This window comes from Homo sapiens, chromosome 14, assembly GCF_000001405.40.
Source record: "Homo sapiens chromosome 14, GRCh38.p14 Primary Assembly".
Lineage (NCBI taxonomy): Eukaryota > Metazoa > Chordata > Mammalia > Primates > Hominidae > Homo > Homo sapiens.
The window spans coordinates 22,004,069-22,020,388 of NC_000014.9; the positions used below are offsets into that span (position 1 = coordinate 22,004,069).

The 16,320-nt window shown below is 40.5% G+C and overlaps 1 pseudogene, 1 gene segment (V, D, J or C) and 1 further gene, besides 4 other annotated features; all 3 read left to right on the plus strand.

Moving 5' to 3' along the window:
- TRA (T cell receptor alpha locus) overlaps positions 1 to 16,320 on the plus strand; it is a 930,229-nt gene that overhangs the window by 382,165 nt on the left and 531,744 nt on the right.
- Positions 3,561 to 3,609: a sequence feature (TRAV19 leader sequence).
- On the plus strand, positions 3,561 to 4,113 carry TRAV19 (T cell receptor alpha variable 19). The segment is given in 2 exon segments: positions 3,561 to 3,609; positions 3,813 to 4,113. Coding segments are annotated over 2 exon segments (350 nt in total), but the record flags the coding sequence as incomplete, so codon positions are not given.
- Positions 3,813 to 3,823: a sequence feature (TRAV19 leader sequence).
- Positions 4,121 to 4,143: a recombination feature (spacer).
- Positions 4,144 to 4,152: a recombination feature (nonamer).
- Positions 7,808 to 10,894, plus strand: LOC100419912 (spalt like transcription factor 4 pseudogene; annotated as a pseudogene).

Genomic DNA, 16,320 nt, shown 5'->3' on the forward strand with positions numbered 1-16,320 from the left:
AGGGGCCTTAAAATCAAAGCCGAATATACTTCATAGTAAATCTGCATTTGAGGTTACATAGAGATGATCTTCTTTAAGACTGAAATATTATAATAGTCTTAGTTTGTCCTGATACTGGGAGGTTCCCTAACTCCAAGTCCTCTTTCCCACGGCAGCACTAGAATCACTTTAGCTATCATTAATATGAGTATTTTCACTTCTATCTTTAAAGAAATAACAGCTTTATTGAGATATAATTTGCATACCTTAAACTTCATTCTTTTAAGTCTACAATTCAGTGGTTTTAGTATATTCACAGTTATCCAATCATTATTGTGATCTAATTCCAGAACATTTTCACCACCTCATAAGGAAACTCTGTGCCTACTAGCACTCACCCCCATTCTTTTCTTACCCTAGCCATAAATCAAATAAAAATATTGATTTATGAGGAATAATAACACAAAATTTTGATGTACCCAGTCTTATTGTAAATACAGGACCTCTTATGAACCTGTATCTAGAGGGATGAAACATAAGTCCCAACATTTAAGACTGCAAAGAGTTTAATGACTGTGATGCAGGGGACAAAAGCCAGTGGAGATTGAACTCTGCTGGTATTTTAACAGGATTTCTCTTGTTTTTGGTAATGCTTTGGTTACAAATTATATATTTTTGGGTGTTTCCCATCCTAATCTCCACCATAATTAATATGCATGGATTGGAATAGCAAGGGGATTTTCAAGAACACACATATTGAGTTATAACAGAAACTCCTGTCTTTGAGCAGTGAGTAGAATTTCTGGAATTTATTTTTGTTTACACACACACACAAAATATGTGTGCAAATAAACATGTAGGTATTTTTCTCTGGTGTTACTCGACATGGCAAACACTGAACAGATTTGGTGACTCAGGAGGTATGTTGTGAAATCATTTATTAACAATAAAACTATTTCTTTTTTTATTATAGTTTAAGTTTTACGGTACATGTGCACAACGTGCAGGTTTGTTACATATGTATACATGTGCCATGTTGGTGTGCTGCACCCATTAACTCATCACTTAACATTAGGTATACCTCCTAATGCTACCCCTCCCCCCTCCTCCCACCCACAACAGGCCCTGGTGTGTGATGTTCCCCTTCCTGTGTCCATGTGTTCTCATTGTTCAATTCCTGCCTATGAGTTAGAACATGCGGTGTTTGGTTTTTTGTCCTTGTGATAGTTTGCTGAGAATGATGGTTTCTAGCTTCATCCATGTCCCTGCAAAGGATATGAACTCATCATTTTTTATGGCTGCATAGTATTCCATGGTGTATATGTGCCACATTTTCTTAATCCAGTCTACCATTGTTGGACATTTGGGTTGGTTCCAAGTGTTTGCTATTGTGAATAGTGCCGCAATAAACATATGTGTGCATATGTCTTCATAGCAGCATGTTTTATAATCCTTTGGGTATATACCCAGTAATGGGATGGCTGGGTCAAATGGTATTTCTAGTTCTAGATCCCTGAGGAATCGCCACACTGACTTCCACAATGGTTGAACTAGTTTACAGTCCCACCAACAGTGTAAAAGTGTTCCTATTTCTCCGCATCCTCTCCAGCACCTGTTGTTTCCTGACTTTTTAATGATCGCCATTCTAACTGGTGTGAGATGGTATCTCACTGTGGTTTTGATTTGCATTTCTCTGATGGCCAGTGATGATGAGCATTTTTTCATGTCTTTTGGCTGCATAAATGTCTTGTTTTGAGAAGTGTCTGTTCATATACTTTGCCCACTTTTTGATGGGGTTTTTTGTTTTTTTCTTGTAAATTTGTTTGAGTTCATTGTAGATTCTGGATATTAGCCCTTTGTCAGATGAGTAGATTGCAAAAATTTTCTCCCATTCTGTAGGTTGCCTGTTCACTCTGATGGTAGTTTCTTTTGCTGTGCAGAAGCTCTTTAGTTTAATTAGATCTCATTTGTCAATTTTGTCTTTTGTTGCCATTGCTTTTGGTGTTTTAGACATGAAGTCCTTGCCCATGCCTATGTCCTGAATGGTATTGCCTAGGTTTTCTTCTAGGGAGTTTATGGTTTTAGGTCTAACATGTAAGTCTTTAATCCATCTGGAATTAATTTTCGTATAAGGTGTAAGGAAGGGATCCAGTTTCAGCTTTCTACATATGGCTATCCAGTTTTCCCAGCACCATTTATTAAATAGGGAATCCTTTCCCCATTTCTTGTTTTTGTCAGGTTTGTCAAAGATCAGATAGTTGTAGATGTGTGGCATTATTTCTGAGGGCTCTGTTCTGTTCCATTGATCTATATCTCTGTTTTGGTACCAGTACCATGCTGTTTTGGTTACTGTAGCCTTGTAGTATAGTTTGAAGTCAAGTACCATGATGCCTCCAGCTTTATTCTTTTGGCTTAGGATTGACTTGGCAATGCAGGCTCTTTTTTGGTTTCATATGAACTTTAAAGTAGTTTTTTCCAATTCTGTGAAGAAAGTCATTGGTAGCTTGATGGGGATGGCATTGAATCTATAAATTACCTTGGGCAGTATGGCCATTTTCACAATATTGATTCTTCCTATCCATGAGCATGGAATGTTCTTCCATTTGTTTGTATCCTCTTTGATTTCATTGAGCAGTGGTTTGTAGTTCTCCTTGAAGAGGTCCTTCACGTCCCTTGTAAGTTGGGTTCCTAGGTATTTTATTCTCTTTGAAGCTGTTGTGAATGGGAGTTCGCTCACAATTTGGCTCTCTGTCTGTTATTGGTGTATAAGAATGCTTGTGATTTTTGCACACTGATTTTGTATCCTGAGACTTTGCTGAAATTGCCTATCAGCTTAAGGAGATTTTGGGCTGAGACGATGGGGTTTTCTAGATGTACAATCATGTCATCTGCAAACAGGGACAATTTGACTTGCGTAATAAGAGCTATCTATGACAAACCCACAGCCAGTATCATACTGAATGGGCAAAAACTAGAAGCATTCCCTTTGAAAACTGGCACAAGACAGGGATACCCTCTCTCACCACCCCTATTCAACATAGTGTTGGAAGTTCTGGCCACGGCAATCAGGCAGGAGAAGGAAATAAACCACGACTGGCAAAGTAGTAACAAAGATTGAGACTAAAAGTTTTGCCTTCCTGCTAGAAAGTGAAAACTCCGTATGGTTAGTTTGTACCTTGATTCTATCTGGAGAAAAAGACATATGTAAGACCAAAAGGTGCATAACTGTATCATCCCATGTATTCACTATAGCTCATAATAAATTGTAAGTCTCACATTTTCCACCAAAGATGAATTAACTAACCGTGATTCAATTTTACCACTGTATATTTACAGTCCAGTAAGTTATATTGAGACAAAATTGGTACTTAGGACAGTCTAGCATCTTCCATCTCTACAGGAAGTATGTGACATGACACAGTCAAACTCATCATATATCTGTTAACTATACTTCCTGTAAAAGGCAGAAGCCTCACACAGCCCAGTAACTTTGCTAGTACCTCTTGAGTGCAAGGTGGAGAATTAAGATCTGGATTTGAGACGGAGCACGGAACATTTCACTCAGGGGAAGAGCTATGAACATGCTGACTGCCAGCCTGTTGAGGGCAGTCATAGCCTCCATCTGTGTTGGTAAGCGTGACCACTAGCACAGGACTTAGGCTCCTGTTAGTTCAGAAGGATGTGGAGAGAGGCAGATCTTTTTAGTCTAATGAGGCTTAGAAAGAAGGGGTAAAGGGCAATGAAATCAGAGCACTAGGTCTGAAGCCACTTAATCTATTTTATCCCCAGAGTTACAAATAAGGGATCAGTCTATTTTTTCCTCTTTTTCACAGTATCCAGCATGGCTCAGAAGGTAACTCAAGCGCAGACTGAAATTTCTGTGGTGGAGAAGGAGGATGTGACCTTGGACTGTGTGTATGAAACCCGTGATACTACTTATTACTTATTCTGGTACAAGCAACCACCAAGTGGAGAATTGGTTTTCCTTATTCGTCGGAACTCTTTTGATGAGCAAAATGAAATAAGTGGTCGGTATTCTTGGAACTTCCAGAAATCCACCAGTTCCTTCAACTTCACCATCACAGCCTCACAAGTCGTGGACTCAGCAGTATACTTCTGTGCTCTGAGTGAGGCCACAGTGAGATGGGTGCCTGTGGGAGCCCTACAAAAACCTCAACAAGAGGCAGGGCTCCTGGGGAGAGACTCTGTCACAGACAGGAAGAAGCAAGGAGGGTCTGTGTCAGCACAGGTGGTTTGGCAAGGAAACCTGAGTTCAATTCATGTACAATGTCTAGATATAACATTTATTAGAAGCATGTGTATCTTCTATTCTTTAGAATAGATTAAGACAGAATGTATAGCACATATTTTTATATCACATATAGAATTATGCAACAAAAAGTGCAATAACAAAATATATTAATCTTGTGTTGGTTTTATTGAGGGTGGGAAACTATCCAATTATCTTCAGACCAAATGGATGATTCCATTCATAAGCTGTTAAGTTTTTAGAATCACTTATACATTTATGCATTAATTACTATGTAGAATGCTTTAATCCAAGAGTAATAGAAATGCCTTTCATCGATTTTTCTTAAGAATGGTATCAGTACTCAATGAGGTAAAAAAATTAAATTTAAACTTCTTTCCATAATCATGCCAGCAACCTCTTGTATATCAGAATAGATGCGAAATGTTTCTCAAATTTCCTTTCTCTGGCTCCTCTGTTTTTGTGACATGATTATGATATTTTAAAAGTATCTAAATATTTTGCTGTCATTTAGAGGCTGCCTACTAAGAGAGATGTCTAAGGTGGAAATTTGTCCTAACGGATTGAATATCTTGCTTTCACCCTTTCCCCTTTGAGTTCTGGCCAGTTTGAAGCTGAGAAGTGGTTAGGGCCAGAATTACAGCTGCCATGGCAACCAGAACCCACATGGTGTGTCCAGTGTCTACTTCCTGTCTAAACACATATTTCTCCTTGGATGTTACAACAGGTGCTCAGGAACAAGGATTTTTATTTCTTTTGCTCCACACAAGTTTTTAGAAACCTGAGTTTTTAACATTAAAAGAAAACAGACATCACATTAAAAACCAGATTTCTAGCTTACCTATAAACATGGGAAGAGCTGGGAAACACTACACTCCCTGGGGTAGAAGTCAAAAGTTCTGTTTGGACACATAATGGTTTTGATGTATATGTATTTTATTTTTAAAATTTATGCAAATTTACCATTCATTTCACAGTATGAATTAATTTAAAAGTAAAAATTTAAATTATTAGTTACAAGACAAGCTAATCTGCAAGACAAACAAATCTGAATTACCATTTCATGAAACTATACCTGGTTTTCCCCCCATGATTTCATGTATCATGGGTGTGTCCCAGCTTGAGAACCTTAAGTATAGTTTATTCTTAATTCAGGAGACATTTGTAGCTATAGTAAGCATTGGAGAAACATTAGTTAATAAGACAGACATGGCTCCTGCCTTTATGGAGGTCATGTTCTAGGGGGCTATATCCACTATAGAATGGTAGGCAGAGGGAACTAAAGTTTTACACAAACAACCTATGTGACCTTAAGAAAGTTATAACTCCCCTGAACATGTTCTCTCATTTGTAAAATGTAGAGATTTAATTAGGCAGTTGCTATTGAATAATATTTTCCAAAATTTTACTAGCCTCACAAGAGCACATAGTCCACTGCCTTTTTGAGTTCCTAACACTTACTAGCTGCCCTTCTTTTTTGGGAAAGGACAATTAGTTGTTATAGACATATTCATACTGTTCCACATGTTGCATGATAATGTAACAGTAATAACAAGAAGCCAAAGGAAGCAGGCAGAGAGGAGAGTGGCTTGGGAGGTCATCTGCTTTCCATACACAGAAGCTACTGTTCTATGTAGCCGGGCAGCAGAGGAAGAGGGAGAGGAAGAAGGCGAGAGGGAGGGAGAGGAGAAAAGAAAGAAGGATGAGGAGGAGAAGGAGGAAGGGGACAGGAGGAAGGCAGAATGAGGGATAGAGAAGAGATGAAGGGAGGAAGAAAGAAGGAGGAAAGCACAGAACAGGTACTAATTCGAAAGTAAATATGTTTATTTGAATTCGAAGTTTTTGTTTCTTTCACAAGGCATTAGACACACTTTCTTTCCTCAGCATGAGAGAATGAGAAAAATTAGAAGATTCCTATTTGACAAGCATGAGGTCACACTGAACTTGGACTAGCTGGCTGAAACTCCAGAGGACACAGCTCCTCCAGTTAAGCTCTAAGGCAGGTTGAGAGACAGATTTTCTAGTAATTCTGGTTGTCCCTTGTAAAATTAATATAATTCATCTGTTCCTAAAGGAACTAAGAACATTGTAACTGGGAAAGGTTCCTTCAATATTAGAGTTCTCTCTAGAGCTAAGTAGCAAATGCAAATGCTCATAGGTGCCTAGAGTAGAATGAAATGAGTGTGGTTGTCCAAGTGTTTAAAAAGGTACAGGCCTGATAATGTGTCACTAGGCACTGGGCCTTGGCATCAGATGATAAACAAAAATGATGCAGTAAACCCTCCCATTCTTCTCCTAAGCAGAGTGGGTGTCCTGAAAGGTTATCCAGAGATTGAAGCTGCGTTGTTTGTTCCTGAGTCCTGTCAAAGTCAGGCTACAAGCTGTTAGATGTAGACAGGCCATTGCACAAGAGCTTTTATACAGGAAGCTTCTGGATGAGGGGCTGGGGAGATGAAGCCATCACAGTCTGCAAGGCAGCTGAGGCTTATTCCAGCCTCTGTGAATAAAGTCAATGATAATGACCATTAGGCTCCAGCCCCTGCTATTTCCTAATGATCCTTATCAGGGAACCTCTTCAGGTGTTCCCTGAAATTAGTCACCCTCATACCCCACATCTCAGAGCCTATGATCTTGCATACGATGGATGTCTTCACTGCAGAATTGTTCCAGTATCCCTGGGCTAAAGTTTGACTGAGTTCAAATAAAGCATATCACACACAGAGAGAGCTGGTTAAGCTAATGAGCTGTCCAGGGTTATGTAATCACTTGGCTTACATAACTTCTGGACATGATCCATTGTCATAAGCATTTTTTTTTAAAAGAATGAAAGCATATATTAGGCACATATTATGTGTGATACAAAGAATCTCTGAACCTTACTTCTTATCCCTCTTTATTACATGTAGTAGTTGCCTTCTCCATGACCCCTAGTACAACCTGCTTACCATCTACATCCTTTGTGTGTTTGCCCTCATTTCCATCTTCTACGACACAATAAGACACAAGTTCAACAGCTCAGTGCTGTTCCAACCCCAGATGGTAGCATTAGGAGCCTTTCCACCTGATTTCATAATTAAAGTTTCCTTTTCTTTGGAAAAGAGGAAATTTCCCCATCAGAATTGGACACCCTTGGGAGTGAACAGTAAATTGTCAAATATGTACTCTCCCAGAAGTAGAGTGGAATTCTTGATGTTTCCCACCATCGTTATTACACAACCTCCAGTCTCTTTCAGAATTTCCAAACAGAGGGAAAAACTAGGTGGACTTGAAATAGTAACTCAATCCAACAGATTTCCCACATTAGTGAAAAATAGCTTTGTTTTCTGTTCACTGTATTAAACAAAATACTGCCCTCTAGACCCAATCGCCAATTTATAGTAAGTACAAAGGACAGCAGAACATATTAAACCCATCACAAATATACAGTAAGCAAAATCTATAGTGTGAAAAACTCTGCAAGACAAACACCCTGGGTCTTTTTTTCTTCCCACAATAAACTACAAAGAATGAGTAAGGGGATCTATGGATTAGAAGAGCCTTTAAAAAACATATCGCCAGAACTTTGGCTTTCCCAGTGCCCCATGCTTGCACCATGTAGAAGTGCAAGCAGACGAAACCTCAGCATGCCAACTTGGAGGAGGACCAGGGTGAGCAGCAACTGAATCCAGAGTTCGCAGATGCAGCCTGAATGGCGCCAGTGGTGGGGGCCCAGGGTGCTCCAATGGATCACCAAGGGAATGATGATGAAGCGAATGAGGACAAAGCCATGTGGTAAAATGGCTTCATCAGGAGGAGATGGACACCTGTGAGAAATACTGTGCAGAGTTCTTTAGCGTCTCTGAGTTCTTGAAACATAAGAAAAATTGCACTGAAAATCCCCCTGTCCTCTCCAGGAATGACAGTGAGAGGCCATGACAGCTCTCTGGAGCCAGACTGAGCCATACCAGCCACCCAGTCCAAGTAATAAAGATGGCCACAAGGAGAACAGTGGCAGCTCAGGGGACATGAAAGAGAAGCTGGGTGTGGAGTCTGTGGTGCACTTACAGACAGAGATGGCCCTGCCACCCACACCTAAGGACATAGGCTATTTACCCACACGCAAAGTAGCCAACGCTAATGTGCCCATGCAGGCTCTCTGGGGCACCAAGGTGGCAGTGAATCTGTGGAGTGCAGGTGCACTGCCAGCCTGTGCCCAGTGCCCACAGCATCCCATGGGTCCTCGAGCAGATCTTGTATCTGCAACAGCAGCTACAGCAGATCCAGCTCACCAAGCAGATCTACATTGAGATGAACGTGTGGGCCTCCCACATCCTCCACTGTGGCAGGGCAGGGGCTGACACCCTGAAGACTTTGGGCAGCCACATGTCCCTGCAGGTTTCTGCAGCTGTGGTTTTGCTTAGCCAGAAGGCTGGAAGCCAAGGTCCGTCTCTGGATGCCTTGAAACAAGCCAAGATACTGCACACCAACATCCCTTCTACCTTCAGCACTCTGCCCCAGGACTGATGCCTTTTGTTCTGAAGCCAGATGGGAAAAGGGTACTCTCTTCCCTTTCCCTGTTTGGGAAAACATCATGTGTCCCATACTGAGTGCTTTGCTCCCTCAGGCTCTGGGCTTGGTGCTCTTCCAGGGTACTTTCTCCACTATGGCATTAGACCCGTCCAAGAAAGGGAAAGGAAGGCTATGGAACATCTCCAAGCACAAGTGTAAGTGCTCTAGCAAGGTTTTTGGGACTGATAGCTTCTCATGGATCCACCTCTGCTCCCACACTGGAGAGAGACCCTTCGTGTGCTATGTCTGTAGTCATCACTTCACCACCAAGGGAAACCTCAGGGTACAGTTTCACAAACATCTCCAAGAGAAGGTGAACCCCCAGTTGTTTGCTGAGTTCCAGGAAAAAATGGCAACAGGCAATGGCAACCCATATGCACTCTGTACCTGCCCCCATCAATGAATCGAGCCTCTCTTTAAACAGCAAACTTGTCCTTGTAACTTCCTCTCTAAGGCTACCTCAGAATCTCTCTTCAGAGACTAACCCGAAGAACCTCATGGATGGCCTGTTGCCCAATTACCTGTAGCCCAGTCCTTCTGCAGAAAGTGAGGGCAGGCCTACACTCCTTGAGGTAAGGACAAACAATAATTCACCAAGTACTGGTGGCTTCTAAGTGAGTGGGACCCCCGGCCAGGACCAGAGACCCTAAAATTGCTGTAGCTGTTTGAGAACATCCACAATGCCGCCACTGGCTTCATTTTCTACTGATTCCTAAGCTATCTCAAAATGTATTACTGCACATGCACCCACACACCAGGGAGAGACTATTCCAGTATAAGATTTGTGGCTGAGCTTTTTCTACCAAAGGCAACTTGCAGACTCACCTTGGGGTTCACTGAACCAACACACCCATAAAGAGGCAGCATTCATGCCTCATCTGCCAGAGTTACCAATGCCGTGATATTGCAACAGCATATTCAGATGCACACGGGCAGTCAGATTCCCAATATTCCCTTGCCAGAGGATCCCTGTGACCTTATGATCCTGATCCAATGATGGTCAGTGAGGATGGCAGTACAAGTGCCATCTGCTATGATGATGTCCCCAAAAGCACCGATGTAGAAGTCAGCTCCCAGGAGGGCCCAAGCAGCTCCTCAAAGATCCCCGTATCTCCTTCCATGACGGCTTCCTTAGATGCCCCAGGTAGGGGGAGTGGGTCCTATCCCTTTTGGCCTGCAGTGCCAGAGCAGCCAAAAAATGGTTCAGTGGAGAGCAATGGCTTGACCAACCACTCATCCTCACTGAAATGAGACTAGGAGTGTGAGAGCCAAAGTCCAGACACCATGGAAACTAGGTCCTTCCAGGTACTCTCTGGCCAATAGTGAGGCACAAATCATCAAGTCAATGTCTCCTGATGCTGGGGGCAAATCAGAGAGCTTTGAGAACAGATGCAGGGATGGAAGGTTGGAGCAGGCTCCCTTCAACGTTTATCTGAGCCCAGCCAACCTATGTCAAACTTGAAGTTCCAGGTATATTTGTAGGACCCTCAATCTTGTCTCCAGGGATGACCCCTTTGTTAGAGGCCCAGCTACACTGACAGGTCAAGCAACACGGCTGCACCCAGTGTGGGAAGAACTTCCTGTCCACTAGTCTTTTCAGATTCACAGACAGACTCACACTGGAGAGAAGCCTTTTGTATGCAACATTTGTGGGACAGCTTTTACCACCAAAGGCAACTTGAGGGTCTACTATATGACACATGGGGTGAACAATAACTCAGCACACCATGGGAGGAAGCTGGTCCTGGAGAACACCATGTCTCTGTTAGGTACAAAAGGAAAAAGAGTCTCAGAAATGTTTCCTAAGGAAATCCCAGCCCCTTTAGTGAATGTGGACACTGTTGTAAGGAATCAGTATACCCCCACACTTGACTGTGGTCTGGCAGTGAAAACCAGTGAGCTCTCTCTGATCCAGTGTAGCTGTATTCCTACCCTCCTGGTTTCCTTGGAGGCTGTCTCCATCATGAATAACACCACCATCTCCAAGATGATGGCTCCCAATCAGGTGTCATTGCGGATGTGGAAAAACCAGGTGCTATTGACAGCATTCCCAAACATCAGTTCCTTTACTTCCTGGAAGAAAACAAGGTTGCAGTCTTCTTTTTTTTTCTTTTCTTTTTCTTTTTCTTTTTTTTTTCCAGCTTAGCTTAACTTGCATGGAAGGATAAATGCAGACAGAGTTAAATCTCTAGAATCTGCTTTTTTTTTTTTTTGTAAAGGCCCATCTCCTCCTGTTTTCTTTCTTTTTTATTTTTATTTTTTTCGAGATGGAGTCTTGCTCTGGAGGCTGGAGTGCAGTGGCGTGATCTCAGCTCACTGCAATCTCCACCTCCCAGGTTCAAGCAATTCTTCTGCTTCAGCCTCCTGAGTAGCTGGGACTACAGGCATGTGCCACTGCATGCAGCTAATTTTTGTATTTTTAGTAGAGACAGGGTTTCATCATGTTGGCCAGGCTGATCTCGAATTCCTGACCTTGTGATCCACCCACCTCGGCCTCCCAAAGTGCTGGAGTTACAGGTATGAGCCACCCGCGCTCGGCCTTCTTTTTCTTACTGGTATGCAAATGACGTTTATGAAGGTTGTGACCATCACCTCAAGCACAATTGAAATGAAAATGAAAAAAATGAATAAAAAATTATACCAAAACAAATATACACTGGATTTTTTTTTTTAAGCAGCAGGTGTTGCAAAGTAGCCTTGTTACTTGTGACAAACTATATACATAGGACTTTCGTAAAACCTATGGTGACTTTTTCTAAGACCATTATCTACTTCAAGGTGGAATCATTGGAACTTATTGAACCACAGTGGAAGAGACAACTACTTAGCCTAATTGGGGTGAAGGGTATTGGTAACCGTATGCAGGTAAACGGACAAGATCTGTCATCTATTTAGGGAACTGTTTTATATTCCCCCAATCCTGTTAACATCTTTCTTTTTCTTTCTAAAAATATACTTTTAAAAGAACAAAAAACTAAGGTTGTACAATTATAAAATTGCTTCAACCTTAGAACCTTAAGTAGGATGCCCTCAGATGGACTTATGTTAGTGCTTAGGGATTCATTGTGTGTGTTGCTGTTTATTCAAATGCAGTTCAGTCAGAACCGCAAGAGTGCCAATGTCCTCCTCATACTTCCCAAATGCCTTTTTCTTCCTGAACCTGAGGTGGACACCTGAATGGGGAATCTCAGGTGACTTAATTTAGTTTGTCGGTGCCTACCCTATTGAAAAACCGGGTTTTCATTCTTGAGAAGAAACTCATGGAAGGGTGTGTTTCCTGCCATAGGTTCACACACTATTTTTTTGTTTTGTTTAATTTATTTGGTGCAACTTAGGAAGATTATTTTTTCTTGAGGATTTTATGAAGGCTGTGAAGTTGGAACAGGTGAGTCCTGGGTAGGAAAGCTTTTATTTATCTCCCTTATTTATTTATTTATTTGTTTTTTAGCCATAGTCTCTATTTTCCTATTTTAAGACTACTGAAGTATTCCCAGGTTCTGTCTTAAACCTAAAAGTCAGTGTATTGGTGGAAAGAGTTGGATGTTCAAGGTGTTTTGTGATTCCTTTATTTGTAATCTCCTTTTGTATATGTAATAATATTGAGCAAAGGAAACATCTCTCTAATGGTTTAACAAGAAAGGAGAAAGAAAAACCCTAACTTCTGGGAGAAGTCTATCCCTTCTATGTGGAAGGCCCTGAATGAAATGTAGATCAAGACTGTTAGCTAATGTTTTGCCTCTTGGTTATTGCACCTGATTTTAGGCCTTTTTATTTTTTTGCCATTTGTGCCTTTCCTTCTGGAATTGTAAGTGAACACAATAATGGTATCTGCTTATACTGTGAAGTGTGTATTGTTACAGAGACCACACCAGTGGCTTTTTCACTGTTGAGCTAATAATGCCTTGTGAATGTATGATCTTTGGAGAAACTCCTGTAGCTGTGCTGCTAATGCTGTCTGTCTGTTGGAAAATAAATTTTGAATGTTTTCTCTTTGGAAAACATGTCCACAAATCACAATATGTGACTCTTAGGTGAATTCTGAATCAGATAAGCTGTAAAATAATTGAAAATGTAAACACATTTACCAATTTGGTTGTGTTTTAAAAAAGTCAAAATTTAGTGATAGTACTAAAATAAGCAAAAGCAAAATAATATGATATTTTACAAATATATGAATGGCTTTAAAAAAATAAATGAATGAGTAAATGTAGTTGGGGCATAAATAAAACAAGATTGACCAAGAATCAATATTTGATGAACATGGGTGATGGGTACATGGGGTTTCATTGTTCCATACTGTATACTTTTCTATATGTTTGAGAAATTTTCTTTAAAAAAATTAAAAATAGAAATTGGCTAGATTCAAATCCTGTCATCTCCATTGCAGCATGACTTTTGATTCTTTAACCTGTTGATGTCTCAGTTTCCTCATCCATTAAATGGTGATAATAGAATTTACCTCGCGAAGTCGAGTTGAGAATTAAAATTATACATATTTACATACACCTATATGTTTAAATTAAACTATACATGATTTTATACAGACAGTTTTCGCACGGTACATAGCATGGCATGTCGACGCAGTAGAGACTCAATCTGTGACAGCCAATGTTAATGGAAAGGGTGGAATTTGTTCAGGGCCTAAATCAGATTTTCAATCATGTGCTAGTTTCATAACACCACACTGCTCCTTGACACGTTTTTCAAAGGAAAGAGCCAAAACTCATTGATAAGGAAAGGACATCTTGGCACTGCTTGAAAATCACCCCAACAGGTCCCTAAATCCCCATTTGCAGCTCCAGTAAATATCCCCATTTGCAGCTGCTCCCCCACCAGTACCTACCCTGCTGCTAAGGCCCAGGCCCTGTCAGAGAAGCAGCACATGACGGATGTTTAACATAAAAGTGTTTTCAGGGGGCAGGCAGGGCTGCTTTAATTCCCCTAACTAGGTAATTTAAGGTATATTTTCTCATATTTGCCAACAGACCAAAGAAGAAATGCTCTAAGATGTAATCAATATTCACATCAGCCTTCAAACCAATTTGATTTCAGTCTTTCACACTGTTGAAATAAACAACCCTGTGAAGTCCCACACATCAAGATAAAAGCCAACAAAGAAATGGCATTTTTCCCTTGAGCAACTATACACCTAAAAGATGACTTGTGAAGCAATAAATATAGGTTATGGAGATTTTCCCCTCTTACTCTAAGAGTACATAAACACTTTAAAATGTATTTGAGATATTATTGATTGCTGAATTAATATATTTTGTAAGATGAGGTAATTATTGACAAAGAAGATATTCTCATCCTGTATTCAGTTTAAATGCAAGCTGTCATACAAAAAAGAGATTTAAGAGGAGATTTATAACCTGCTCCAGGAAGCTAGGAGAAGGTTTCATCCACCCCCAAAGCGCAGACACCTCCTCACTCTTCTGCTTGTTCACAGTAATATGGATGCCACTGTGTCTGGTCACAGATCTATGTCTCTGCTTAAATTGTCCCCATTGCACAAAATGTCCTTTCTCCATCTCCACAGACTAAACTTCTGTCTCAACCTCCTATGACTGTACTTTTGGAAAGGAAAGTGGGGAACACAGTAGGTGAGAAAAGACATCTGTTTTGCTGGTTGATAATCTAGAAGATGTGGTCTAGACATTGAATTATTCTCATTTCATAATTTATAAGAACAACTATTAAAATGCCCAGTGGTCCTGGATAATGTATAGTCACCATTCTTATCTTACAAGACATAGCTGTCCTGATGTAAAGATACAACGTGTGTAATCTTTCCTTCTCTAAACTTCTCAATCACTCTTTAATCTTTGTTGCTACTTACCACTTGATATGTTGCATTTTGTTTCTGAAAATTCATGTCTATAACTATACCATGATCAGAATGGCTAAAGTGAAAAAGACTACACTAAATATTGACAAGAACATGGAGCAACAGAAATTCACATATTCGGCTGGAAGGAATGTCAACTGGTACAATTTCAAAAACATTTGGCAATATTTACTATAGCTGAACATGTGCATTCCCTGTGATGCAGAAATTCAATTTCTACCTATATGCCCAATAAGAAGTTACATATATTCATTTGTAAAACATGTACAAGAATAAGAACATGTATTACATCAGTGATTATAATATCCTAAAACTGGAAAGCAACTCAGATGCACATAGCAGTTTCAAAGATAAATAAAGTACGATAATGAAATACTACCCAGCAATGAGAATGAATAAACTTGCCATATGCTCAAGGCAGATTGAATCACACAAATATTACTGAGTGAAAAATGAAAGCAAAAGAAATTCAAGAAAAGGCAAGACTAAGCTATGAAGTTGTAAGTCAGGAGAGTGAAGATAGGGGCTATCTTTACAAGGAGATAGTGACTCAGAAAGAGTACAAGGGAGGCTTCTGGATGCTGGCAATGCTGTTTCTCAATTTGGGTGCTGGTTACATAGGCGATTTCACTGCCTATGTATGAAAATTCACCAAGCTCTACATTTAAGTTTTGTGCACTATTCTGAATCTATATTATACTTTAAAAGTTTTTAAAAGAAACCTTATCCATCCCATTGACTAAATTTTGAGAACATACTTCTTATTCAATCCATCTTCATAGCCCCACTGCCCTTCACATTAGCCTTCATTTAAAACATGCTTCATAATTGTTTTCTCAATAAAGGACTGAGCTACATGTTTAAAAAGATGCTCCGGTCCCAGGTCCTAGGATCTAGTATGTTATCAGATGGACTTGAACTTCCCTGTGTAGCTTGCTAATTACTGCTTTGAGTTTAGACCTTTGGTATTGATGTGGTTTTTCTCTGTCTCCACTCAAATCTAATGCTGAATTGTAATTCCTAGTGTTGGAGGAGAAGTCTGGTGGGAGGTGATTGGATCATGGAGGTGGCTTCTAATGGTTTAGCACCATCCACCTAGTGCTCTCTCGTGATAGAGTTCTCAAGAGATCTGGTTGTTTGAAGGTGTGTGGCACCTCCCCCTTTGCTCTCTCTCTCTCTCTCTCCTGCTGGGCATGTGAAAGTGTACTTGCTTCTCCTTCACCTTCTGCCATGAATTTCTTAGTTTCCTGAGGCCTCCCAGCCATGCCTCCAGTATAGCCTACAGAACTGTGAGTCTATTAAACATCTTTTCTTCATAATACCCAATCTCAAATAGTTCTTTATAGCAATGTGAGAATGGTCTAATACAAGTATGTTACACATGGTTTTCTGTAACAGGCTTTTAACTGGCCTCCCTCCTTCCAGCATTTCCTCCCCATAATCCACTCCCATACCCTACAAATGACTTATTCTTTTAAGAAACACAGCATCAATCACATCAGTCCTCTGTTTAACAACCTTCAATGACCATCCTTTTCCTGTAGGAGTAAGGTTAGTTAAAACTCATGGTGTAGCTCTCGATGGCCTCTACAGTAGTCATGAACTTTCTGCTTCATCAGATTAAGTCTAACTTGTGAATGAGGCTGGGAAACATTTACTGTCCTCCATTAACAGC